The sequence below is a fragment of the Homo sapiens genome, chromosome 2 (genome assembly GCF_000001405.40).
Source record: "Homo sapiens chromosome 2, GRCh38.p14 Primary Assembly".
In the NCBI taxonomy this organism is placed as follows: Eukaryota; Metazoa; Chordata; class Mammalia; order Primates; family Hominidae; genus Homo; species Homo sapiens.
This window is the reverse complement of record NC_000002.12, coordinates 9,168,430-9,196,210: the sequence shown is the minus strand read 5'-3', so window position 1 is coordinate 9,196,210 and position 27,781 is coordinate 9,168,430. Positions and strand designations below refer to the sequence as shown.

The window sequence follows — 27,781 nt, the reverse complement described above, 5'->3', positions numbered from 1 at the left end:
GTCTCCCAAAGTGCTGGACTACAAGGGCGCGCCACCACACTTGGACAATTTTTAAAACTTTTCGTACAGATAGGGTCTCACTGTGTTGCTCAGGCTAGTCTTGAACTCCTGGGCTCAAGAGATCCTCCCACCTCAGCATCCCAAAGTGCTGAGATTACAGGCATGAGCCACTGTGCCCAGCCAAGTTGTACACTTTAAATGGTGGAATTACATGGTGTATGAATTATATCTCAATAAAGCTGAGATAAACAAAAAAAAAACTCTACAAATTAGTGTTTAAAAAAGTGTTAAGGACTAAAAAAGTAAAAAACAAATGTATGGACTCAGAGTTTGGAGCTCGAGTTCAAATCATGGCCCTGCCACCTTCTCTTACCTTGAGTGAGTTGCTCTGGGAGGCTTCACTTCTTCATTGGAAAGATGGAATGAGAGAAGAAAGGTACTATCACATATCTAGCAGGGTTCATAAAGGAATTAGAGATTATCTAAGTAAGATAAGAGTTACTTATTTTAGAATTAGAGATTGTCTAAGTAAAAATGCCTGACACATAATAGTTGCTCAAAAAATATATTATTAATCATACATTTTATATTCCCACTCTTGAAAACATAGTGGATTCTCTGGGCACAGTGGCTCTCACCTGTAATCTCAGCACTTTGGGAGGCCGAGGCGGGTGGATCACTTGAGTTCAGGAGTTCCAGATCAGCCGGACCAACATGGTGAAACTCCATCTCTACTAAAAAAAATACTAAATTAGCCTGGCCTGGTGGTACGTGCCTGTAATCCCAGCTACTTGAGAGGCTGAGGCAGGAGAATTGCCTGAACCCAGGAGGTGCAGTTTTCAGTGAGCCGAGATCCTGCCATTGCACTCCAGCCTGGGCAACAAGAGCGAAATTCCATCTCAAACAAAACAAAACAAAACAAAACCCCCCCAAAAAAAAACAAAACAACACAACACATAGTGTGAATCTATAACTAATAAATCTTTATTTGGTCATAAAAAAAAAAAAGATCAGCCAGACATGGTGGCTCACACTTGTAATCCCAGCACTTTGGGAGGCCAAGGTGGGCAGATCACCTGAGGTCAGGAGTTGGAGACCAGCCTACTAACATGGAGAAGCCCCGTCTCTACTAAAAATACAAAATTACCAGGGCGTGATGGCACATCTCTGTAACCCCAGCTACTAGGGAGGCTAGGGCAGGAGAATCACTTGAACCTGAGAGGCAGAGGTTGCAATGAGCCGAGATTGTGCCATTGCACTCCAGCCTGGGCAACAAGAGCAAAACTCCATCTCAAAAAAAAAAAAAAAAAAAAAAAAAAAAAAGTCAAGAAATAGCAGATGCTGGTGAGGCTGTGGAGAAATAAGAACACTTTCACACTGTTGGTGGGAATGTAAATTAGCTCAACCACTGTGGAAGAGAGTGTGGGAATTCCTCAAACACCTAGAACCAGAAATGTTATTTGACCCAGCAATGCTATTACTGGGTATATACCCAAAAAAATATAAATTATTCTGTTATAAAGATACATGCACATGTATGTTCATTGCAGCACTGTTCACAGCAGCAAAGACATAGAATCACCCCAAATGCCTATGAATGATACACTGGATAAAGAAAATGTGGTATAGATACACCACAGAATACTATGCAGCCATAAAAAGGAAAAAGATCATGTCCTTTGCAGGGACATGGATGGAGCTTGAAGCCATTATTCTTAAGAAATTACCACAGGAACAGAAAACCAAATACCATGTGTTCTCACTTATTAGTGGGAGCTGAACAATGAGAATACATGGACATGGGGAGGGGAACAACACACACTTGGACCTGTTGGGTGGGGTGGGGGTGGGAGGAGGGAGAGCATCAGGATAAGTAGCTAATGCATGTGGGGCTTAATTCCTAGGTGATGTGTTGATAGGTGCAGCAAACCACCATGACACACGTTTACCTATGTAACAAACCTGCATGTCCTGTATATATATCCCAGAACTTAAATTAAAAAAAAAAAATAAGGCTCTTTTAATACCTCTCAGAAAGCAAACTCCCAAAATGGAGCTAAACCATAGAGGAAAAACATATTCCCTGGCATTATTCATGCCACAGGAGGACCCAGCTCTGCTACTTTTCCACCTCTGACGTCTCTTCTCCCGACTTTTGTTTTTATTCCTTGAGCTGGTAATTGAAGCTGTCAGAGAAGGCTCATGCCAGTCAGTATTTCGTTGATGAATTCCAGCTGGGACTAAAGAGTGCTGCTGAGTTGGAGGGAGGGAGAGAGAGAGAGAGAGAGAGAGAGAGAGAGAAAGAGAGAGAGAGAGAGAGAGAGAGAGAGAGAGAGAGAAGGCCCCTTGGGAATGAGCCCACGCTCTGAGGCAGTGGGATGTGAGTATCCAGCCCATTCGGTGATTAACTCTGTGTCCAGCAAGGTTTTCCTGCCCATCCATTTGAGGTGCTGGCCTGAGTCAGCATGTGCCTGAAGAGTGGAGTGAAGACAGAAAGCCGCCTGGAGAATACGTAGCTGAAATGAGGTTGGGATACACGGAGATTCCTGCCACAGGGCTAAGCATATCCTGGTGCTTTGAGGAGGAAATTAGAAAGAAATATTGCGCTGGTCACAGGTCTCTTAGGAGAGTCCATTTGGACATCTCCATCACAAAGCCTGGAGCCCTACAGTCGAATAATATACAGGAACCCAATTCAAAGCTGTCATTCAGAGATGATGCCGTGTGCACATGCCAGACACTGTACTAGACTCTGGGAACACGGGGCTGAGGGTGTAATGGTGTCTGCAGAGGTGCTGGGCCTTCATGCCGCCTCACAGAGAGGGGAACACAGAAACAAATGACCTTCAGAGAGGCATTTCTCTATCCCATAGAACAGGGGTCCAACATAACCCAGAGACAGACACCCTGAGCCAACTGGACTATCTGCCACTTGGTGCCATAGTGATCTGGATATCCAGGGCTGTTAAAGCTTCCTCCAAATTAGCTTTTCTCCTAACTCTCTAGACTAATTTATTTCATCCGGTCACTAAGTCCCCAAATGGGTCTATCCCAACAGACCTCTCGTGATAACGTAATCTGAGAAGCTACAGCCTGACTTAGAACATACTACTGAGGGATGATCTCCTGAACTCTGAATCCCCCACCTCCCAAGCCTGTTCTGGGAGCTGCTTTCTTTCCCCAGAGCTCTCCTCGCTGCTATCCTCATGCTGAGCACAGGTCTCTCCTAGTCCCAGGTCCCTGCAGTCACACAGGCCAGCATCATCTCCTCCCCATTGTGGTGGTTGCTCACCTGTTGGGGGTATGGTGAGAATGACCATGGGCTAGGCCCGCCCCCCTCTACCATCATTCCTAGGCTCAAAAGCATTGCTGACACTTGCCCAATTGTAAGGATCTCCGGGACCCCTGGTAAAGTCCAGGTTCCAGATGGCCCTGGCACAGAACTGTCTTTAGGGGAGGGGATTGGAAATCTGTATTTTTAATATGTGCTTGGGAGATTTTAGAGAAAGCAAGTCTACACAGCTTCATCTAGCATTTTAGAGGAGAAATTCAAAACCAAGGATTAGGCCAGGCACAGTGGCTCACACCTGTAATCTTAGCACTTTGGGAGGTGGGCAAATCGCTTGAACCCAGGAGTTCAAGACCAGCCTGGGCAACATGGTGAAACCCCATTCCTACAAAGAATACAAAAATTAGCCAGGCATGGTGGTGCACACCTATGGTCCCAGCTACTTGGGAGGCTAAGAAGTGGGAGGATCACTTGAGCCCGGGAGGTGGAGACTACAGTGAGCTGTGATGGCACCACTGCAGTTCAGCTTGGGTGACAGAGTGAGACCCTATCTCAAAAAAAAAAAAAAAAAAAAAAGGACTTTGGGCCGGGCGTGGTGGCTTACGCCTGTAATCCCAGCAGTTTGGGAGGCTGAGGCGGGCGGATCAAAAGGTCAGGAGATTGAGACCATCCTGGATAACGCTGTGAAACCCCATTTCTACTAAAAATACAAAAATTAGCCAGGCGTGGTAGAGGGCGCCTGTAGTCCCAGCTACTCGGGAGGCTGAGGCAGGAGAATGGCGTGACCCCGAGAGGTGGAGCTTGCAGTGAGCCAAGATTGCGCCACTGCACTCCAGCCTGGGCGACAGAGCAAGACTCTGTCTCAAAAAAAAAAAAAAAAAAAAGGACTTTGAATTTCTTTCCAGGTCTGTGAATGTGTGGGGCGAATCTTAGAGGTGAGTGGGTTTGTAAGTGAGCAGGCGCCTTCTTAGAGCACTTGCTCTTTCACATCTCTGGGGAACCACTTGCAGAGTTGTGATCAGAGAGCAAAAAGTTCCCAAGGGATCTGTAAGTGCCCAACATTCACTCTGAAAGTGCTTGCCTAACCGCCACACAGAGAGTGGTTGGTTGGCCTGTAGGATTTGGAGCTGTGGATGTTTCCTGCCTCTAAGCAGAAGTAATAACCCTTAGTCATATAAGAGACCTAGTCATGGCTCGAAACAGAGACTTCATTTTCTCAGTTCTGCGGAATTCCCAAAGTCTGCAAGGCCATGTGTGTGACTCTCTTTGCAAAGAGTTTGGGAGTTGTTTTCTTTTAACTTGGTTGGAGAGCAGCATTTAGTGAATGCTTCTGGGCAGCCCAGGGGTCAGATATCAGACCCCCGACAAGAGTGGGCCCCCCTGGGATTTGGAGCCATGCACTTTTCCTCCAAAGGTTGCTTTCTCTGTTGGTGTTTTTAAAACAGGGCTACACCCCGTTATGTTTGCTCCAGTGTCCCTTCCTTTCTCTCCTGGACTCTCCCAGTCTGTTCGGGGTTCTCAGCCAAAGTTGACCTCACTGGCCGCCTCTGCATTGCATCTTGGTGAGTCCCACTTGCAAATGCCAAGAAGTGAGCTGTGCAGTTTGTTCAGGCCCTGTTCACATTTTCCATATGGCCCTGAGCATAACAACTCTGCGCCTGGGCCTCCGGTCTGCACCCGGGTCCTGTCCTGAACTCTCCAGTGGGCAGAGCCCAGAATGTGGCAAGAAGGTCCCTGGCCGGGCCAGACCTGTGGAAACGGCTGGTTGGGCACACTGGATCAGTCTGAGTATGCTGGAGACAGGGCATGGAAAAGCCGTGACCAAGGGATTCCATGGCAGGATTGCCAGCAAATCAATGCCCCCTTTGTGCCCCATTCCATAATATGACACAGCAATCCAGCCTGGGGCTGGCAGAAGCAAAGAGCATGCCTTCCACATGCATCCCCACCACTGTGCATCAGATAGAAAGCTGCTGATACCCTAATAGGGTGGGATTGGGCCCTTGGCTGAGTGGATCTCAGCCCACTTGACTCGCAAGCTGGACTACCAGGGGTTCTATACTTCCCAAGTCTAAGACTCCCTCAGCAGGGCACAAGACCCCACAGATACTCCAGCTTCTTTGCTCAAAAAGGCTAACCAGAAGAAGTAGAAAACATGGTTTTCTTTGATTGAGACCCCAGCGAGTGCCAACCCAAAGTCAACTGATCATTTGCAGCATGCTTCTGTGATTTAATTTGCTCTTCTTCCTCATCTAGTTGTCCAACCAGAAACCTTGGCACCATCCTGAAGTCCTTCTCCTCCCTCATCCTGCAAATCTAGTCAGTCACCAGGTCCTGATGATTCTACTTACATAGTACCCACAGAGCTGCTCCCTGCCCTTGATTCTCCCCTCATCCCTCATCAATTCAGGCCCTCACTCTTTTTTTGTGAATACAGCGGCACAACAAATCTTCTTATCTCCAGCCTAGACAACTCTCCAATCCATCCTGTTTACGTGGGTGCCATAATTATCTTTCAAAAAGTGATTATTCAAAAATGCAAATCTAGTATGGCACTCGCTTAAAAATCTTTCAATGGCTCCCCGCAGTCTGTGAATGAAATCCCAATTCCTCAGTGTGCTATATAAGGCCCTTTGCAGTCCAGACTGCTTAACGGTTCAGCCTAATTTCTCAACAAATGTCGAATATACCCACAGATACAGTCATGCCTAACACATTCATTCATTCATTCTCAATTCCTGTTATGCATCAGATCCTGTGCTAGCTCTGAGAATCCAGGGATGAGCAAGAGAGCCACAGTCCCTGAGCCCCTAGAGCCAGCAATCCAGAGTGAGAGCAGACTCTAACAAGAAGGTACAATTAAGTTCAAGTTCAGTGGGTGAACACGTGGGGGCTATTGCCTTGCCTGAGTCCAGGGAGGGCTCTGATCCAGATGAACAAGGGATCCCTGATGACTATGAGCTGGAAGTTGGTGGTGAGAGACAGTGTGTGCAGAGTCAAAGGGGAGAGAGAGCTTCACCTAAGCTAGACTTTACCCAAGCTAGTGGAGAGCCGCAGAACCATTTCAGGCAGATTCGCCTTCTCAAAATCTCTCTCTGGCTGCGGTTTGGGGAACAGGTCGAACCACGTGTAGCTTCCCATATTGTGTGCATTCTTTCACAGAACCCTGAGCACAAGCCCTTCCATCCTTCTAGAGGCTCTCTGCCCCTTGTGTATCTGTGAATTCTTTCCCATCTTCCAAGAGTCAGCTAGAAATCATTACAATTCCTATGCCACCCCTTCCCCTCTGCCTGCGTCCAGCTGGGCACATCAAGACCTACATGATTCCCTGCATTTCATGTCTTCTCTCTCCGTGGGAGGAGTCCTATTTCATCCTAGACCTGGAAGTCTTGCGGGGGCTCCATTGTCCCTAGATGCTTGTGTTTTTCACACAGTACATTTCAGAAAATAGGCTCCTGAAGGAGAAGAGGACTTGTAAGCATCCTTCTGATCTTTCGTGGTGGGAAAACCCTTGGCTTTGTACCTAAGTTTGGGCAAAGGCCTGATCAGGAAGGAAACCTAAACTTATTTTTTTTTTTGAGACAAGTTCTCACTGTGTCATCCAGGCTGGAGTACAGTGGTACGATCATAGCTCACTGCACCTTGAACTCCTGGGCTTAAGGGATCCTCCTGCCTCAGCCTCCCAAGTAGCTGGGATTATAGGCACACACCACCACCCCTGGCTAATTTTTTTGTTTTTGTAAAGATGGGGTTTGCCGTGTTACCCATGCTGATCTCAAACTCATGAGCTCAAGCAATCCATCCACCTCATCCTCCTAAAGTGCTAGGATTACAGGCGTAAGCACCACACCCAGCCAGGAAGCCTAAACTACTGATGGCTCCGTGAACAGGCTCATGGTAGGTTACATAGGCTGTGCGGTGCATAGCTCGGGGCACCCTTCCCATCAGAGTCATTGTCCAGCTGCAGATCAATTAGGCTTTGGTGGGGCCTGGGGTGCAGATGGCAGTGGAGTGTCTGGAGGAAGGGGTGCCTTCTCCCAATCACACAAATAGCTCAGTATGAACTGGAAACAGTGAAGATGCTCGGTGGGTTTGATAAACTGAATAGGGTGTGTCTTTGATAACGATGTAAGAAACTTGGTTTAGTTTATAATTTGTAAGTAGCTTCTAGCAGTTTTCAGTTAGGATTAACTGACTTAAGGAAGAGTGGGCTTATTTTTTTGGAAAGGGTCTTAGTATTGGCCAGAGAGAGGTGTTTACTTCATGTCATCTATGCCATACTGCAGGCTAATGATCTGGTCCCTTGCGAGCAGCGAATGCATTTGCTGAGGTTACAAGCAGTTTTTGTTCCTATGTACAAATTAGTGAAAACTGAGATTCATTTCATTCATTCATTCAATCCTTCATTCATTCACTCAACATATTTAGGGAGCATCTTTTTTTGTGCCTGGAAATGTGCTATTTGTTTTATACATATCATATGCCTACAAAGCCCTTATTATACATGTATTTATTGTAATTCCTATTGCACAGCTTAATAAACTAAATTGAAAAGTACATCGGCCACTTAGATAGGATTTGGAAATACAGAAAAAGGATGAGATCTCCTCTCTCTACAACCCCGCGATGGAGGTTCTAAAAGCTGCTCTTGAACTTTAAGCCCTAGAAGGATGCAAACATCAAGAGGTGGTAAAAAGGAAGAGAAGAGCAGCCAGATTTAATCATGCTTAGATCTCTCTTGGCACAGACCATACATAAGCCATGGCCCCTGCCCCAATGGGCAGCAATTTAAGAGGCAAACAAGTGGCCCCACACTATCCAAGCATACACAAGGTAGGAGGGCATGAAATTAGCACAGCAACATCCAGGATCAAAAGCAATGTTTGATTTTATCTTCATAGGCAATAAAATGTGAAGCATATTCTTTGGCAGCAGTCAGAAAGGCAGACTGCTGGCTTTTTGTAATTCTTTGAAGGTTTATAGCATGTCAGTTATCATAGCACTTTTGACAATGGAGACTTCATATCTTGAGGTGGGCCAGGTGAGTGTGCAAAATGAAATGTGGTTAGAATATTAAGGCTTGTGACAGAGTACTTGGCCCTCAAGCTGTTCTGACTCTTCCAAATACATTCAGTTCAAGAATGCATCTCTGGTTTCTATTCCTGGTCACTCGGGAAATGACTCCTTGTCTGTAGGTATTTGTTTTGCATGAAACCAATTATGATCGTGTTTCTCATGTGTAGACATCATTATTATGAGTGCAGTTTTAGTTCAGTCCAGTATATTTATGTCTATGGGGCTAGTTTCTTGTAATTCAAATTATTATTATTTTTCTGAGATAGGGTCTCACACTGTTGCTTAGGATGGAGTACAGTGGCGTGATCATGGCTCACTGCAGCCTTGACCTCCCTGGGCTCACGTGATCCTCCCATCTCAGCCTCCCGGGTAGCTGGGACTACAGATGTGCACCTCCACACCCAGATAATTTTTGTATTTTTGCCTATGCTTGTCTCAAACTCCTGGGCTCAAGCAATCCTCCCAGTTCAGCCTCTCAAAGTACTGGGATTATAGGCATGAGCCCCCATATCCGGCCTGTAATTCAAATTTATCACACTTTCAAAAATACTTCTCACCTAAGATTGCTTTATATTTTATTCTTTTTTTTTTTTTTTTTTTTTTGAGATGGAGTCTCACTCCGTTGCCCAGGCTAGAGTGCAGTGGCGCGATCTCGGCTTGCTGCAACCTCCGCCTCCCGGGTTCAAGCAATTCTCCTGCCTCAGCCTCCTGAGTGGCTGGGATTACAGATGAATGCCATCATGCCTGGCTAATTTTTGTATTTTTTAGTAGAGATGGGGTTTTGCCATGTTGTCCAGGCTGGTCTTGAACTCTTGACCTCAGGTGATCTGCCCACCTCGGCCTCCCAAAGTGCTGGGTTTACAGGCCTGAGTCACCGTGCCCAGCCTATATTTCATAGCTATCTGTTGAATTTAGTTTGATATGTGAATAAACGATCACTGACTATATCCTGATGATTATCCCTTCAAGGTAAATAACCTCTTATGCTTGATAGTTCTTATAAAAAGTGCTAACAGTTTTGCTTCGGTCTGGAGAAGGTGTGGGCTAAGAGAGACCAGATGGTTTAGTGGAAGATTTTTAAATGCTGGAAAAAGACAGTTGTGGAAGCTCCTCTGTCTTCAGAAAGCAGCTTTCTTTTTTTATTTTTTTAGACAGAGTCTTGCTCTGTCACTCAGGCTAGAGTGCAGTGGTGTGATCTCGGCTAACTGCCACCTCCACCTCCCGGGTTCAAGCGATTCTTGTGCTTCAGCCTCCTGAGTAACTGGGACTACAGGTGTGCACCACCATGCCCAGCTAATTTTTTAAATTTTTTCTTTAGTAGAGATGAGGTCTTGCTATGTTGGCCAGACTGGTCTTGAACTCTCGACCTCAAGCGATCCACCCACCTTGGCCTCCCAAAGTGCTGGGATTATAGGGGATTATAGACGTGAACCACCACACCTGACCCAGGAAGTGTTTTTTGGTTTGTTTGTTTGTTTGTTTGTTTTGAGACGGAGTCTCACTCTGTCTCCCAGGCTGGAGTGCAGTGGCACAATCTAGGCTTACTGCAAGCTCCACCTCCCGGGTTCACGCCATTCTCCTGCCTCGGCCTCCTGAGTAGCTGGGACTACAGACGCCTGCCACCACGCTTGGCTAATTTTTTTGTATTTTTGGTAGAGATGGGTTTCACCATGTTAGCCAGGATGGTCTTGATCTCCTGACTTCGTGATCCGTCCGCCTTGGCCTCCCAAAGTGCTGGGATTACAGGCGTGAGCCACCGCGCCCGGCCAGAAGTGTTCTTGAAGTGACATGACTTTAGGATAGGAGAACACCTGCAGTGAGAACCAGGAAACGGCCCTAGAGAAGACAGACCATGGTTTCCTACGGAAGAGTCTTTCAATCACTTGGTTCCAAAACCGTTTCTTCCTGCCATGTTGGCAACGAGACTGGTCCCTCTCAGCTTGCAGAGAACAAGACCAGACAGATGGATCCCTGAGAAGTCACTTGAATAGGAGGAGAGACGTGCTGGTCAAGGTGAGGTCAGTGCTATCATGTGGCCAGCTGTCATCTGACTGCTGGCTGGAATAGCCAGGTAACCAGGTGGACATTGTGCCCAGAGAGAAAGCCCAGGTCCGTAAAATCATCGGCTTAGTGGCTGTGCGGGAAGGATGAGGACTTTCCAGGAATAAGATGGCTGAGAAAATAATAAACGAAGCCAAAGCTACCACTTTTAACCACAAAAGAGCAACATTGCATCTTTATCTAAAACTATAGGCACAGTTTATTCTTGTCGATTCCTTAGAATCTGTTTTGGGGTCAAATATTTCTGGATAATAAAGGGGGAAGAAGTAACATTTGTGAGCACCTACCATGTGCTAGGTGCTTGATTTGCATTCTTTTTTCTTTAATGATTTTTTTTTCGAGACGGAGTCTTGCTCTGTCGCCCAGGCTGGAGTGAAGCGGCATGATCTCAGCTCACTGAAGCCTCTGCCTCCTGGGTTCAAGTAATTCTCCTGCCTCAGTCTCCTGGGTAGCTGAGACCACAGGCATGTGCCACCATGCCCGGCAATTTTTGTTGTTTTTAGTAGTGACAGGGTTTCGCCATGTTGGCCAGGCTGGTCTTGAACTCACAACCTCAAGTGATCCTCAAGCCTCAGCCTCCCAAAGTGCTGGGATTATAGGCATGAGCCACTGTGCCCAGCCTGTAAGGCATGATTTTTTGCCTCCATTTTATAGATGAAGAAACTGTGTCTCCATGAGGTAAAGTCCCCCCCAGCTACTGAAGGGCAGAGCTTGGGCCACCATGCACTCCCCACTGTGCTGGTGCCTTTCTGTGAACAATCTTTGCTAAATCAGACTCTAGTGGCCCCATGCAACAGTGGAGACCCTGCCTTCAATGCCAACAGTAAGGCCACACCCATGCCAAAGTCATGTGTCCCTTTAAGTTTCTTGAAATATGTGACCGAGCATTCAAACTAAACCAGCTCCACGTCACACCTTACCTGTCACAAAAGGAAAAAAAAACATTCATGGATGGGAAGAGAGAGTAGCCAGCTGTATTCTATCCACCTACGGGAAGGACATGCCAGAATTCGTCTAGGGTTCGTACCCTTGAGGCAGACACTTGAGACCTCCTCACCAAGTTACCCCCTGTGAACACCTAGCCAGGAAAAAGGATCCTGCCCCTGAACTATGACTTCTCCCCAGAAAGGAGCCGGTGAGTGGACGTTGCCTTGCAGCCCAGCCCTCCTCCCCTTCCGGCTCATGCAATGTCCAAGAAAGGATATCTTTGAGAAAGATGAAAGGTCAGTGAGTTGGAGTCTAGAAATCAAGGGGGTGGTTTTCTGGACTAACTACAATGGCGCGTGATCTCACCTGCCAGGGCTATTCCAGCCCCCCCGCTGACAAGTCCACTGCGCAGGGACGGGACCCACACAGGCCTTCACTGGCATCAGGGAAACACATCTTTCTCCTCCCAGGCTGTAAAGTTCTGGGTTTTCGCTATTCTGTCATGAGCCCAGATTATTCAGGGAAAGCCACAGTCTGGAGAGAAGACCCTGGAATGGGCACAGAGGTGACGCGTGGGCTGCCGCAGAGCCAGCCGTTTGGGGCCCATGTGGGAAGCCAGACTCCAGGCCCCGGGAAGGATCAGGCAGCCAGGAACAGCATGGCCAGGGAGGCAGCATCAAAGCCTGGCAAGGTCTTTGCCAAGGACCTGCTAATAGCTTCCGTCTATCATCCGGGGAAATGATTTCTGGGACTAGATAATTGACTTCTGTTCTTTGTGACAGATGAAGTTTTAAAACGCCGGAGTCCATGCCTGTCTCTTTCATTACTGACGGGTTTTGCCTTGGGAGGGCAGGTCAGCGGCAGGCAGGGAGAACGTGTGCCCGGGCTTCCTTCTCTGTGCGGGGGAGGGGCGGGGCCCGTCAGAGACCCGAGCAGTTACCTCCATCATTTAGACCCCAAATTCCGGGGAAAATTTGATGATCCCAAGGTTCTAATCCGAAGAGTTGCCATTACTTATACTCACACAGATGTTTGTCTTTCTTTCTTTCCTTTTCTCTTTCTTTCCTTTCTTTCTTTCCTTTTCTCTTTCTTTCTTTCCTTTTCTGTTTCTTTCTTTCTTTCCTTTCTTTCTTTCCTTTTCTCTTTCTTTCTTTCCTTTTTTTCTTTTCTCTTTTCTTTCTCTTTCTCGCTGTCTCTCTCTTTCTTTTCTTTCTTTCTTTCTCGCTGTCTCTCTCTCTTTCTTTTCTTTCTTTCTTTCCTTTTTTCTTTCTTTTCTTTCTTTCTTTCTTTCTTTCTTTCTTTCTTTCTTTCTTTCTTTCTCTTTCTCGCTGTCTCTCTCTCTTTTTTTCTTTCTTTCTTTCTTTCTTTCTTTCTTTTTTGAGACAGGCTGTCTCTCTGTCACCCAGGCTGGACTGCAGTTGCACTATCTTAGCTCACTGCAACCTCCGCCTCGTGGGCTCAAGCCATCCTCCCACCTCAGCCCCCCAAATATCTGGGACCACAGGCGCACACCACCACGCCCATTGTATTAGTCCGTTTTCACTGTGCTGATAAAGACATACCTGAGACTGGGCAATTTACAAAAGAAAGAGGTTTAATGGACTCAGCTCCACATGGCTGGGGAGGCCTCACAATCATGGCAGAAGGTGAAAGTCATGTCTTACACGGCGGCTGACAAAGAGAAAGCTTGTGCAGGGGAACTCCTCTTTATAAAACCATCAGATTTCGTGAGACTTATCCACTATCACGAGAACAGCACATGATTCAATTATCTCCCACCTGGTCCCTTCCACAACACATGGGAATTGTGGGAGCTACAATTCAAGATGCGATTTGGGTGGGGACACAGACAAACCATATCACCTGTCTAATCTTCTTTTGTATTTTTTAGTAGAGATGGGGTTTTGCCATGTTGCCCAGGCTGGTCTTGAACTCCTGGCCTCAAACAATCCACCTGCCTTGGCCTCCCAAAGTGCTGGGATTGCAGGTGTGAGCCACTGTGTCCAGCTAACACAGAGTTTTTTTTTTCTCATTTGTTTGCTTTAATGCTTTTACAGTTTGTCAATTTTTATCTCAGCTGTAATAACCAACATGTACGTGACATGTTATGGTTTACAAAACTTCACTTGGTCATCTTGTGAGTTAAGCCAAGGAAGGAGTGCCTTGTTATCCCCTCTGAAATTCAGAAAGGTGAAGTGATGCGCTCAGCACCACAGAGCACAGAAAGAGCAGGGCTGGAGCCGGGCACGGGGGCTCATGCCTATAACCCCAGTGCTTTGGGAGGCTGCAGAGGGGTGAATAGCTCAAGTCTAGGCATTTTAGACCAGCCTTGGCAACATAGCAAAATGCCATGTATACAAAAAAGTACAAAAAGTTAGCTGGGCATGATGCTGTGCACCTCTGGTCCTAGCTACCAGAGATCCTGAGGTGGGAGGATCACTTGAGCCCTGGAGGTTGACGCTACAGTGAGCCATGATTGAGCCACTGCACTCCAGCCTGGGCAACAGAGCAAGACCCTGTATCAGAAAAAAAAAAAAAAAAAAAAAGCAGAATTGGGACTCAAATCCAGTCTTCTGGATCTGAACCACTGTCCTAAACACCATCCCTCCTAAGCAACAACTTGTGAACACAGTGGCATTGCTTACTACTTTTTAAACCAATGTCTGAACTCGACGTGTCTAAGCTAAACTCACCTCCTCCTCTCCACCCCTCAACCCACTTCTCTCCTGGCATCCCCATTGCTGCTCAAGGTGCCCCCTTCAAGATGTCCTTAAATTGTTCCCTCCCTTCCCTCTGCTCCACATCCAATCGGTCACCTCTTCCCTCATCTTCCTTTCAGGCTGATCCTCCAGGATGCCCTCACTTTCCTGTCCTATTTTCCTGCTCAGCTCAGCCCCGTCTCACAGCTGGTCTCTCCCAGCCACCCCTGAAAGCTGTCCCCACCTCAGTACCATCTACCTGGGACACCTGTACACCAGCACAGCCGACTCTACCTTCCAACAACATGATTTTCGCCACTATCTTGAATTAAGCGCCTTATGTTAACTAGAATTTAACAGTGTTGTATACATAATCAGCCGTCAAAAATAATTTACTGAATGAAATTTGACGGTGGGTTTCTCAGGAGCAGGGGTCACGCAGTGTGATGTTTACTGGTGGACACCCATGATCCAGCCCCATGCAGATGTCCATACTCGTCAAATGGGTACTGGCTGATCAGATACATCAAAGGATGCCACCTGTCTATTCAAGCCTTCCAGGGCTCCCCTCTTCCTGCTAAGTCAATGCATGGACTGCTGAGCTTCTCTTTCAATTTACTTTATCAAATACCTCTGTATTAGTCAGGGTTCTTGCATTTTGAGAAATTAAAAACCCAATTCTAAAGACCTCAACCACCATAAAGGGAATTTATTGGCTTGCATAACTAAGAAGCGTAAATATCGGGAAGGGGGTCCATTGAGCCAGTGGGTTTGTAGCAGGCTGCCACATCCTAGGGTGTCTGTTCTCATGCTGCTAATAAAGACACCTGAGAATGGGTAATTTATAAAGGAAAGAGGTTTAATGGACTCACAGTTCCACATGGCTGGGGAAGCCTCACAATGATGAAGAAGGCAGAGGAGAAGCTAAGGCATGTTTTACATGGTGGCAGGCAAGAGGGTGTGTGCAGGGGAACTGCCCTTTATAAAACCATCAGATCTCATAAGACATTCATTACCATGAAAACAGTATGGGGAAGCCATCCCCATGATTCGATTATCTCCACCTGGCCCCACCCTTGACACGTGGAGGTTATTACAATTCAAGGTGAGATTTGGGTGGGGACACAGACAAACCATATCTATGCCTGAGGCAAGATCTGGAGCTAGGCAAAGTCAAGTGGGAGGTGAAGAAGCAGAGATGATGGGGAGGAGTGGGAGCAACTGATAGGAGTGTGAGGTCAATCCTTGGGTCCTGATTTTTCTGCAGTCCCCACGTGTTTGTATGAGCAGGGTGGGTCCATTTGTGGCAGCCACAATGGGTCCTGGTGGGTGTTCAGGGCTAAGGCTAGGACTGCTCAATCTGGAATCTGGAGGTGGGCGAAGGGAGGTGTTTGACAGTGCCTTATGGAAGTAGAATTGGTCAGGAACTTCCATCCTGCAAGAGAGCTATTTTCAGGTAACCCCAGCCCTCCACCCAGTGAAAATTATGTCCTTCCTTTTGAGAAGCCAGAGTTCAAGAACATCAGGGCTGCTGCCCTGAATAACTTTCTGTTATGCCTGAAATTGGGAACCTGCACCAGAGAGCTGTTTCCTGTGTCTTTCACTGTTATAACTTTGTCGTTGGTTCCTTCTTATCAACAACATGGGGTTTCTCCAATTTGTAGAGAATGAAGAGAAGTGGTGCAGGGTTGATGCAAACTGGCCTAGCTGCGAGGAAATGTGTGCATCCCCAGGACACAGAGCCAGGCCCTGGGGTTACAAAGCCAACGCAGTGTAAGCACCAAGAAATTAGTAACAACTGTAACCGCTCCAGGCACCTGCCAGTGTGCTGCCTGCGGTTCAATGCTGATGGATTCTCGTTGGTTAGTTGTGTGTTGTGTGTTGTGTACATGTGTATTAGGAACCCATGTATGTGTGTATGTGTAGGGGTGGAGGCACTACCAATATCAATTCAGACCATTTTCACAATAAACCGCCATGTCCTACAGGCCTGCTGGATCCTTGCGTGCCTTTTTTTGCTACTCCACCCAACATTGCAGAGGTGGAAGAGCTTCCTGAAGCCTGGGAGGGTCAGGGGAGGCCCATGGAAGTTGTGTGGCACTCCCCTGGGACTCAGATCCAGCTCATGTTTATTGAGGGCCTGCCCCAGTGACTAATCCTCCCACAACAGTGCTGGGGAGGCATTAGTGACTCAGGAAGGATATGGGACTTGTCCAAGGGCACACAGATTCCAACACGGGAGGTGCTTTTTCCACCACGCGGAGCCCAGACTCTGTGGCCAGACTACCTGGTTTGCACCCCAGCTAGGCACTTGCTAGCTGTGTGGACTTGGGCAAGTTACTTACTATCTCTGTGTCTGGGTTCTTCATCAAGGAATTACTTACTATGTTTAGCACAGAATAAATGCTATGTAAATGAACGCTTATCTTCTTAAGATGATTACATCACATGCTTCTGAAAATGATTTCCTCAGAAAAACAACATACTAGAAGAACACGAAGGCTGTTTTCAAATGGAACCTCAGTAAGATTAATCGTCTTGGGAAAATTGGCCTTCTCTTTCCTGCCTTGGTCAGTACGTCCCTTTCCAGGGGGCCCCTGTCTGGGACAAGGTCCTCATGGAGAAGGTCAGCCGAAGAGCTTCGCAGCTTTGCCCTCGTTGGCCTGAATTAGATGGTCTGATGGCTGCTTGGAAAAATGCACTGCATTTTTTATGTATTTTCCCCATCAAAACACGTCTGTTTCGTTCTCTTTTAAAGGGCGTCCATGAGTCATTTGGCAGGAACAAAGAAGCTTCAGTTTGCAACTTCCGTGGGGATACAGTTTAAACAGTGTGGGCTCACGTGGTTTTTTTTAAAATCTGAAAACATGCCTTAGAGGTGCCTTAAGCACCTGATGGCAGCTGTTCTCTCTTGACAGCTGGATTCCAAATGTAAATATTATTTGTCAGAACGTATCAGAATCATTTGCATGCAGATGTAGACAGCCATCCCACGGGTGTGCCGGGGAGGCGGGTCCAAGGCCCTTTCTGCTTGTTCAGTCTGGTGGAACACAGTGCGGTTTCCTAGACTGGTTCACTGCTGTGTTTCATAAGGAGCTCAAAAGCCAGGCCAGCATCATTTCTCTTCCTGAAGGCAACCCTCCAACTGTCCCACTCAATCCCAAAGTCATCAGCATGAGGCAGGAACCTGAGGCCAGGGGCCTGGGAGGAGAAGAGCAGGGAGTGAAGTCCCACAGGTCCCCTGAGCCCTGACACCTTCTCCCCTCAGCACCCCAAACCCAACCTGTCTGGGAGCAGACTCCCCTCCCTCAACTCCCGGGTGCACCTGTCACCTGTCCACACACAGCCACACACTGGGGGCTGGAACATGGGGTGAAGTGCACAGAGTTGGATTTGGGTACATGCCACTTCCTCTCTAGCAACTGGGGAGGTTACTTCACTTCTCTGCATCAGTTTCAGCTACCTCATAGGGTTGCTGTGAGAATTAGATTAAGTAAAGTGCTGTAAACCAAAAAGAAAACTCTAAATTCTAAGCCCCATAACTCTCTGAATGAGCCCCTCCTGTCAGCCAGGGGCCTTCCAAAGTCAACCTGAAAAACCAGTTCAGGCTGTGACAGGAATGTGGGGCTGGATATGCCTCATTACACCCTCCTCCCTTTTGGAATTACTGATAGAACACACTCTAAGTCTGATAAGAAACATTTACAATCTAGTCCCTCTAAAGCCTGCTCCCTGGAGGCTGCCTCTGCATAATGGGAACTTGGTCTCCACAACCCCTTATCTTAACCCAGACATTCCTTTCTATTGATTCTAGGTCTTTGGACAATAACTTGCCTTTTCGAATTGAACCAGTGTACATCTTACATGTACTGACTGATGCCTATGTCTCCCTAAAATGTATAAAACCAAGTTGTAATCCAGCCACCTTAGGCATGTGTTCTCAGCACCTCTTGAGGGCTGTGTCATGGGCATTGTTCACTGAGATTAGCTCAGAATAAATCTCTTCAAATATTTCACAGAGTTTCACTCTTTTTGTCAACAGCACTAACCCACATAATAAATGCTCATAGTAAATGCTCAGCACGTTACCTGTCATTGTCAATCAGTCAGTAAGTCCCATTGTCGCTTTCCTGAGTTACTACTCGGGACTTTCAACAGAGCTCCTCATTCTCATCCGATTTCAATCCATCCTCAACTTGGTTACAAGAGTTAGCTCCCTACATTCTTTTTTTTTTTTTTTTTTTTTTTTTTTTTGAGATAGAGTCTCGCTCTGTCACCCAGGCTGGAGTACAGTGGCGTGATCTCGGCTCACTGCAACCTCTGCTTCCCGGGTTCAAGCGATTCTCCTGCCTCAGCCTCCTGAGTAGCTGGGATTACAGGCACGTGCCACCGCACCTGGCTAATTTTTGTATTTTTAGTAGAGACGGGGTTTCACCACGTTGGTCAGGCTGGTCTTGAACTCCTGACCTCGTGATCCACCCACCTTGGCCTCCCAAAGTGCTGGGATTACAGGCGTGAGCCACTGCACCCGGCCGGGGTAGCTCCCTGAATTCTTATGTGACTCTGAATCTCCTTAAAACCCTCCATCCATTTCCCATTGCTTCAGGATAAAAACATAAGCATAAGATGAGAAAAAGCAGTGAGAATCCATTAACATTTGCCAGACCACAATAAACTGTGTTTTCTTGAGTTCAGTGATGCGATCTTGGCTCATTGCAACCTCGACCACCTGGTCTCAAGTGATCCTCCCACCTCAGCCTCCTGAGTAGCAGGGACTACAGGCAAGCGCCACAATGCCCAGCTAATTTTTGTATTTTTTGTAGAGACGGGAGTCTCCCTATGTTGCCCAGGCTGGTCTTGAACCCCTGGGCTCAAGTATCCTCCCTCCTTGGCCTTCCATAGAACTGGGATTCCAGGCATGAACCACCATGCCCAGCCCTTCTTATTTTTGTGTAGCAGAAATATAATGTAGTGAAGAGAGCATAAGTTTTGGAGCCCAACAGATGAACGTTGGAATCCCTCCCCTGCCACTTACTGTCTATGTGATTTGGGCAAAATACTTAAGATCCCTGAGCCTCAATTTGATTTTCTGAGGCCAGGCATGGGAGTTCGCACCTGTAATCCCAGCACTTTGGGAGGCTGAGGTGGGCGGATTGCTTGAGCTCAGGAGTTTGAGACCAGGCTGGACAATATGGCAAAACCCCATTTCTACCAAAAATACAAAAAATTAGTCAGACATGGTGGTGCACATCTGTGGTCCCAGCTACTCAGAAGGCGGAGGCAGGAGGATCACTTGAGCCTGGGAGGCAGAGGTTACAGTGAGCCGAGATTGCACTACTGCACTCCAGCCTGGGTGACAGAGCAAGACCCCATCTCAAAAAACAAAACAATTTGCTTTTCTGTAAAATGGATCAAGGATTTAACTTGGCAACTCTGATGTTTAGATGAGACAATATATGTACAGTGCATCAAATGATATTAACTAATTCTTTCTCCTCTGGTACTGACAGAATGACCACCTCCTTTCCTTTATCAAACTTAGTATATCTGCTGCTCAGGCCAAAAGCTTCTCACGGCCTGCTCCTACTGACAGAGCTGCATGCCTACTGAACCTGTTTATACCAGTAGTGCTGGTTATTTTAATTACACAGCTTAATGATACATATGTGACCAATGAAATAGAGTTATCTTGAAACAACAACTTTATTTTAGATAAAAGACTTACTAAGGGTGAATTAGTATTTGCAAAACTCTAAGCAGACGTGGAAATTCTAATCAGGTACAACAACTCAAAATATGGGTGAATGAATGTATATTTTAAATTAAAATAATATGTTTAAGACTAGGCAAAAAATTGTTTATGATTATCTACCCCCACATGGCAGACTGAACACCCACTGGTCTTGACCCCATTATAAATGCACCCAGCATCACATTTGAAGTTTTGTGTTTGTGTCTGAAGATCCTTACCACAAGCTAGGATTAGGTTGAATTGCATATACCCAAAAACTTAGGTAAGATTAGCTTAAGTAATGCAATTATATTTCTCTTTCTCATAAAGGAAGTCTAGACGTGCGTGACTCCCTGGTGTCATCAAGGAGCCAGACTCTTATTTTTTTGCATCCTTAGCACGTGGCTCATTTTCTCCAGGCTTCTTCTTGGGTCCAAGGTGGCTGCAAGAATTCCAGTCGTTACATCCTTGTTTCAAGCAACAGGAAGAAGGAAGGCAGTAGAAGGGAAAATCATTCCCCTACCTTTATAAAGATGTGAACTTCAATCTCTTCTTTCTGTTGGCAATATGGCCAACTAAAAATCCAAGTTCTCTGGGCCAGACATGGTTGCTAACACCTGTAATCCCAGCACTTTGGGAGGCCAGAGAGAGTGGGTCGCTTGAGGCCAGGAGTTTGAGGCTAGCCTGGCCAACATGATGAAACCCCGTCTCTACTAAAAATACAAAAACTAGCCGGGTGTGGTGGCAGGCACCTATAATCCCAGCTGCTCAGGAGGCAGAGGCAGGAGAATTGCTGGAAACTGGAAGGCGGAAGTTGCAGGGAGCTGAGATCATGCCACTGCACTCCAGCCTGGGCAACAGAGAAAGACTCTGTCTCAATAATAATAATAATAATAATAATAATAATAATAATAATAATAATAATCCAGGTTATCTTAATTAGGAGAAAGCAGAAAATGGATATGAAGGCAGGCAATTAGCAGTCTCTGCCACATAGCTTTATCCCCACTTTGCAGGGAGGAAACTGAAGCTCAGAGAGGAAGTGTCACACAGCTGGTAAGTGGCAGCGCTGAAGTTCACATGCAGATCAGCTGAAATGCCTGAGAGTCAGAAACATTCTGCTGGTGTCGAGTGTCCACTAAGGCAGCACTTAAGCACCAGTCTGAGTCACACATCCCTTAGAAATCTGTATGCTTAAGGCACTAAATTCTGCCCACTTCAGAGCTCATATAAGAGCCCTGAGATGGCTGGAGGTCATATTTGTCCGTGCCAGGTTTTTAATTGGTTTCCATTTTTGAAAAATGGTCACAGCTGCTTTAGCCACGACTGTGCCATGGTTCTTCAAAGCAGTTTCTTGTTCCATGAAGACAGAATTGTCAGAGGAAAGAGTCTTGAAGTTTGAGTTGGAACATTATTAATCCATGAGATCACCTTGCTGGATGTAAATCAGTGGTTCCCAGCTGTGGGGGATTTGGAGTGTCACAACTGGGAGAGAGTGCCCTAGAATCTAGCGGGAGGGGCCGAGGATGTGGTTACATGTCATACGATGCACAGGACAGGCCCCATGTTTGTAATGTCGAGGTAGAGAGGACCGTTTGAACTAATTGAGCTTAAGTAACGTGGCATCTGCTCTTTTTATTTTTTATTTTTGAGACAGAGTCTCACTCTGTCTCCTCCCAGGCCGTAGTGCAGTGGCATGATCTCGGCTCACTGTAACCTCCGCCTCCTGGCTTCAAGTGATTCTTCTGCCTCGGCTTTTAGAGTAGCCAGGATTACAGGTGCACGCCACCATGCCCAGTTAATTTTTGTAGTTTTAGTAGAGACAGGGTTTCACCATGTTGGCCAGGCTGGTCTCAAACTCCTGACTTCAAGTGATCCTCCTTCCTCCACCTCCCAAAGTGCTGGGATTACAGGCGTGAGCCACCATGCCTGGCCACATCTGCTCTTTTATATAGACGTACCAATAAGAATCTTGGGGCCTGGGTCTTCTCCTTTCTCTTAATGTTTCTGCCTTTGGCTACGGGAGAAAGTGGTCCTGCACAACGCTAAGTACTGAATGTATGTTCTGTTGATGGCCATGATCGGTAATCACACTAACAATGATACCGGTTCACATCAATCACCAAGTCCTTCTTGAGCAGCTTCAATCCACTGAACGGGAACTTAGTGATCAGCCAAGTCAGGATGGCAAATCCATGGCATCTCGGGCGACCTGGCCTGCCAGCCCCAAGTGTGGAAAACCTTCGACTTAATCAGAGCATTTTTGTAGAGCCCAAAGGCAGCCTCAGAATTCTTCTAAACCCAGCAAGCAATCCAGGGAACACCCACCCAGGATCATCGATGGCATGAAATGTGGGACCGATGTGCCTTCCCTCTTTCGGTTCACCCCATCGATGGCTTGCTAAAAACAGTGCCAAGCTAAAACTAGAACCAAGGTTTTTTAACTTTCAGTCCACTGCCCTTGTCACTGCCCCAGGGTTAGGGTCTGTAAGTCATTTAACATCTGTTAGGGTTGAATCATGTCCCTCAGAAAAATCTATGTTGGAGTCCTAAGCTCCAGACCCTGACAATGTGACCTTATTCAGAAAGGGTCCTTAAAGAGGTAATCGAGTTAAAATGAGATCATTAGGGTGGATTCTCATCCAATACAACTGGCGTCCTTATAAAAAGGGGAGCTTTGGACACAGAGACGGGCATGTCCAGAGGGAAGACAGGAGAGAAGCCCAGGTTCTCTCTGAGATTCTCTCAGAACCCTCAGAAGGACCCAACCCTATTGACACCTTGATCTTGGACTTCTAGCATGCAGGCTTGGGAGACAATACATTTTTACAGTTTAAGCCACCCAGTTTTTGGTACTTTTTTACAGGAGCCCTGGCAAACTAATACAACATTAATCAATGGAGCAGTCTTCCTTAACAAAAACTATTGTTATTCTAGATATGTTGATTTTCATTGCCGTGAGCTTCTCTGATTTTTTCAATATTGTTTTTTGTTTATCCAGGGTTTTGTTTGATATTTATTTACATTTTTTTCTTTCTTTCTTTTTTCTTTCTTTCTTTTTTTTTTTTTTGAGATGGAGTCTTGCTCTGTTGCAAGGCTGGAGTGCAGTGGCGGATCTTGGCTCACTGCAACCTCTGCCTCCTGGGTTCAAGCAATTCTCTGCCTCAGCTTCCCGAGTAGCTGGGATTACAGGCGCCTGCAACCACGCCTGGATAATTTTTTTGTATTTTTAGTAGAGACGGGGTTTCACCGTCTTGGCCAGGCTAGTCTTGAACTCCTGACCTCGTAATCCACCCGTCTCGACCTCCAAAGTGCTGGGATTACAGGTGTAAGCCACCGTGCCCGGCCTTCTTTTCTTTTCTTTTTGAGACAGAGTCTTGCTCTGTCACCTAGACTGGAGTGCAATGGCGGGACCTCAGTTCACTGAAACCTCCACCTTCCAGGTTCAAGCAATTCTCCTCACTCAGCCTCCCAAGTAGCTGGGAATACAGGTGCCTGCCACCATGCCCAGTTAATTTTTTGTATTTTTAGCAGAGACGGAGTTTTACCATGTTGCCCAGGCTGGTCTCGAACTCCTGACCTCAGGTGATCCTCCTGACTCGGCCTTCCAAAGTGCTGGGATTACAGGTGTGAGCCACCGTGCCTGGCCTTATTTACATTCTTTACTAGGTATTAGTATAGAGCAATTTTTATTATCTTAACAGCTAGCACCAGAATTTCTTTTGCTCGAGTGAATTGTGTTTGGGAAAATATTTTGATAAACCTTCCCATCTCCCCATCCCCGAGCAACCACTGGTCTGCTTTCTGTCACTATAGACCAGTTTGCATTTTCTGAAATTCTACATAAATGGGATTATATGGTAGGTACTCTTTTCTGATCTGGCTTTTACATTTGGCATAATTATTCTGAAATTCATCCGTGTTGTTGTGTGTTATCTATAGTTCATTCCTTTTTACTGTTGAATAGTTTTCCTTTGCATGGGTTCGTCACAATTTGTTTATCTATTCATCTATTGGTGGACCTTTGGGTGGTTCCAGAGTTTCACTATTACAAATAAAGCTGCTGTGAACATTATTGGAGAGGCCTTTGTATGGACATATGCTTCCATTCTCTTGGTAAATACTTAGGAGGAGAATGGTTGGATCATCTTTTCTTGTGCTTATCTGCTGTCTATATGTCTTCTTTGGTGAAGTGTCTAAGTCTTTTGCCCTTTTAAAAATTTGGGTTATCATTTTCTTATGATTGAGTTTTGAGAGTTTGTGTATATATTCAAGATACCAGTCCTTCATCAGATATTTAATTTGCAAGTATTTTCTCCTAGTCCATGGATTACCTTTTCATCTCTTAATAGTGTGTTGCTAAGAACAGTAGTATTTTGATAAAGTACAATTTATCAACATGTTCTTTTATGGATTGTGCCTGTCATGTGTATTGACGAAATCTTTGCCTAATCAAAGGTCATGATGACTTTCTTCTGTCTTCTTCTATACATTTTACAGTATTAGGTTGTATACCTTAGTTTATGATTGAGGCCATTTTGGGGCCAGGTGTGATGGCTCACATCTGTAATCCCACCACTTTGAGAGGCCGGGGCAGGCGGGTCGCTTGAGGCCAGGAGTTCAAGACCAGACTAGGCAACATAGTGAGAAGCCCCCATCTCCATAAACAAACAAACAAACAAACAAAAACCAAAAACATAATCCATTTTGGGTTAATTTTTGTTTACGGTGTGAGATATGAACTGAAGTTTATTATTTTGCCTATTAATATCCAGTTGTACCAGCACCATTTTTTGAAATGACAACTGAATTTTGCCTATAGGAAAAAATATTTGACAAGTATGCCTGGATCTATTTCTGGACTCTTTATTTTGTTTCACGGATCTGTCTTGATGTCAGTACCACAGTCTTGATAACTGTAACTTTATAATAAGTCAAATATTTGCAAGTCCTACTTTGTTCTTTTTCAAAGTTGTTTTTGCTATTCTAGGTTCTTTGCATTTCCATATGAATTCTTGAATCAACTTGTTAATTTCTACAAAAAGACACTGATCTCAAGAGACTCCTGATGCCCAGGTGCCCCTTCAGGGTGGAGGCATTCATTCCCAGCTGCTGGGGTAACCGCCTAACAGGTTCACCTTGTGCGCTGCCTAGACAGAGTTGATTTATCAAGACGGGGGAACTGCAATGGAGAAAGAGTAATTCACGCAGAGCCAGCTGTGCAGAGGACTGGAGTTTTATTATTACTCAAATAAGTCTCCTCAAGAATTTGGGGATCAGAGTTTTTAAGGATAATTTGGTGGGTAGGGGCTCGGAAAGTGGGGAGTGCTTATTGGTTGGGTTGGAGATGGAATCACAGGGGGTCGAAGTGAATTTTTCTTGCTGTCTTCACTTCCTGAGTAGGATCGCAGAACTGGTTGAGCCAGATTACTGGTCTGGGTGGTGTCAGCTGGTGCATCAAGTGCAGGGTCTGAAAAATATCTCAAGAACTGATCTTAGGTTTTACAACAGTGATGTCATTCCCAGGAGCAATTTGGGGAAGTTCAGACTCTTGCGGCTAGAGGCTGCATGGACCTTAAGCTGTAATTTATAATCTTGTATCCAATTTGTTAGTCCTACAAAGGCAGACTGGTCCCCCAGGCAAGAAGGGGGAAAGGGCTATTATCAATTTTGGGAAAGGGCTAGTATCAATTTTGTTTCAGAGTTAAAGTAGAAACTAAATTCCTTCCCAAGGTTAGTTCTGCCTACGCCCAGGAATAAACAAAGGCAGCTTAAAGGTTAGAAGCAAGGTGGAGCCAATTAGGTCTCACCTCTTTCACTGTTATAATTTCCTCATTTATAATTTTTGCAAAGGCGGTTTCATTGAGGGCAGTAGAGGCTGGCTGCACTCAGCTGAATCCTTCAGATATCGCCCTCAAAGAAGTCCTTCTCGCCCAAGGATATGCCCCTTTTTGGGGCAGCACATGTCCCATTATTGGTGAATGAAAGGGGTACATACTCTTGGTCCTCTTTTCTCAGAGGTCAGACGTTGTCAAAGGGCCATCCCGATTCTAGGGCTCTCTGTGGAGACCTGGGATTGGCTGAAATCTCTCTGTGACTCCATCCTACATCACAGCAGAACTCCTCTGCCCAGCCCTGCTTCCTTCGCTACCTTACAAGGCGATGGTCCCTGGGGTACTCGCTACTAACCCTCGTCCATGAGAATGTTTGTATGTTATGTCTGTATGGATATGATGAATGCCTTATGTGTGTATATAAGTATCTACACAAGGTATACATAGGTACAATGTATTCCATACAACGGATGCTGCATGTATGTATGTATGTATTGCACACAGTGTATACACACATATCATGCATTACATATGAGGAATGCTGTAAGTCATTAGGGCTTAATTCACTGACATCCTGGTTGAGAAGCACTGCCTTGGGTGTGTGCACCCACTTTTCTGGTCTAGAAAGTCTATCTGAGGACTGTCCAGGAACTCATGCCCAGCCCTCTGACTCAGATCTGCTGCCCTTGGGGCTCATCCTTGGGTGCTCCATAGCTCCTCTGTACTGCACTTTTCCTCGGCGGTTCCTTCTGTCAGAGGCGTTTGAACTAGAGCGACTCCATCTTGTATAAGGGCTGGGTAAAATAAGGCTGAGACCTACTGGGCTGCATTCCCAGGAGGTTAAGCATTCTAAGTCACAGGATGAGACAGGAGGTCAGCACAAGGTACAGGTCACAAGGACCTTGTTGATAAAACAGGTTGTGGTAAAGAAGCCGGTCAAAACCCACTAAAACCCACCCAAACCGAGATTGTGATGAAAGTGACCTCTGGTTGTTCTCACTGGTCATTATACGCTAATTATAATGATTAGCATGCTAAGAGACACTCCCACCAACACCACCACAGTTTACAAAAGCCGTGGCAATATGAGGAAGTTACCCTATATGGTCTAAAAGGGGGAGGAACCCTCAGTTCCGGGAATTGCCCATCCTTTTCCTGGAAAACTCATGAATAATCCACCCCTTGTTTAGCATATAATCAAGAAATAATCATAAAAAATAGGCAACCATCAGCCCTCAGGGGCTGCTCTGCCTATGGAGTAGCCATTCTTTTGTTCCTTTACTTTCTTAATAAACTTGCTTTGACTTTATGGATTTGCCTAGAATTCTTTCTTGCACGAGAATCCAAGAACTCTCCCTTGGGGTCTGGATGGGGACCCCTTTCCAGTAACATCTCCTCAAATGCTCTTCTGCCCCTTGCGCTCCTCCCGCCTCCTCCCCAGCTGCTGCCTTAGGCACCTGGCCTGCAGCATCAAGACTGTCCTTCCAGGGCTCCTCAGCCACTCATTCTTCTCACTGACTGCAGGGGGGACTGTTTCTCTAACCCCAGGAGACCTTGCTGAGTTGGCAGAAAGGGACTGGCTCCTGACAGCATCAGCAAGAGAACTTCCCTCTGGAAACAAAACACACCCATTTCCATGGTGTGTCCTGTTTTTTCTATTCTGAAGAGGCAGCGCCAAACCCTATGGAGAACAGCGAAATGCATTCTTTGAACTTCTGCTTTTAAGCATTTAATGCCCACCACAAGTGGGTTTCACCATCACTTAAGGAGAAGATTAAAGAAAGTACTTCAACAACTAACTTATGGCCTAGATGCAAATAACTTGTTTGTTGAGCAGGAATTTCTGGTGGTCTGGGCTGGCCAAACTCCTGATTTCTATCCAGATGCTTAGATCATGGTCTTGGGGTGTCGAGTATCTTGACATTCCTAGACAAAAATCAGCTCAAGAAAAATGTCTTAAGGTAAAGAGAATGCTCAGAATTTCCACCTCTCTGGCTATCTCATGGGAAAATAAATAGCCTAGATTAAATATGAAAAGCATATTTCCTTCAGTGTCATAAGAGTCATCAGAGTGATCTCTTTAGATTTTTCAAATGTTGGTCAACTCATGGGGAACTATGTAAAGTGTTGCATGTGCTGGTATTTTGGAAGTCAAAGTTGACAG

The 27,781-nt window shown here is 46.0% G+C and overlaps 1 annotated feature.

Moving 5' to 3' along the window:
- Positions 15,465-16,664: an enhancer, noted in NCBI's record as "P300/CBP strongly-dependent group 1 enhancer chr2:9319676-9320875 (GRCh37/hg19 assembly coordinates)". NCBI's record gives its function as "activates an origin of replication core promoter dependent on BRD2, BRD4, P300/CBP, MED14 and CDK7 cofactors, with strong dependence on P300/CBP, by STARR-seq in HCT116 cells {active_cell/tissue: HCT116}" and the evidence as "EXISTENCE:reporter gene assay evidence [ECO:0000049][PMID:35650434]".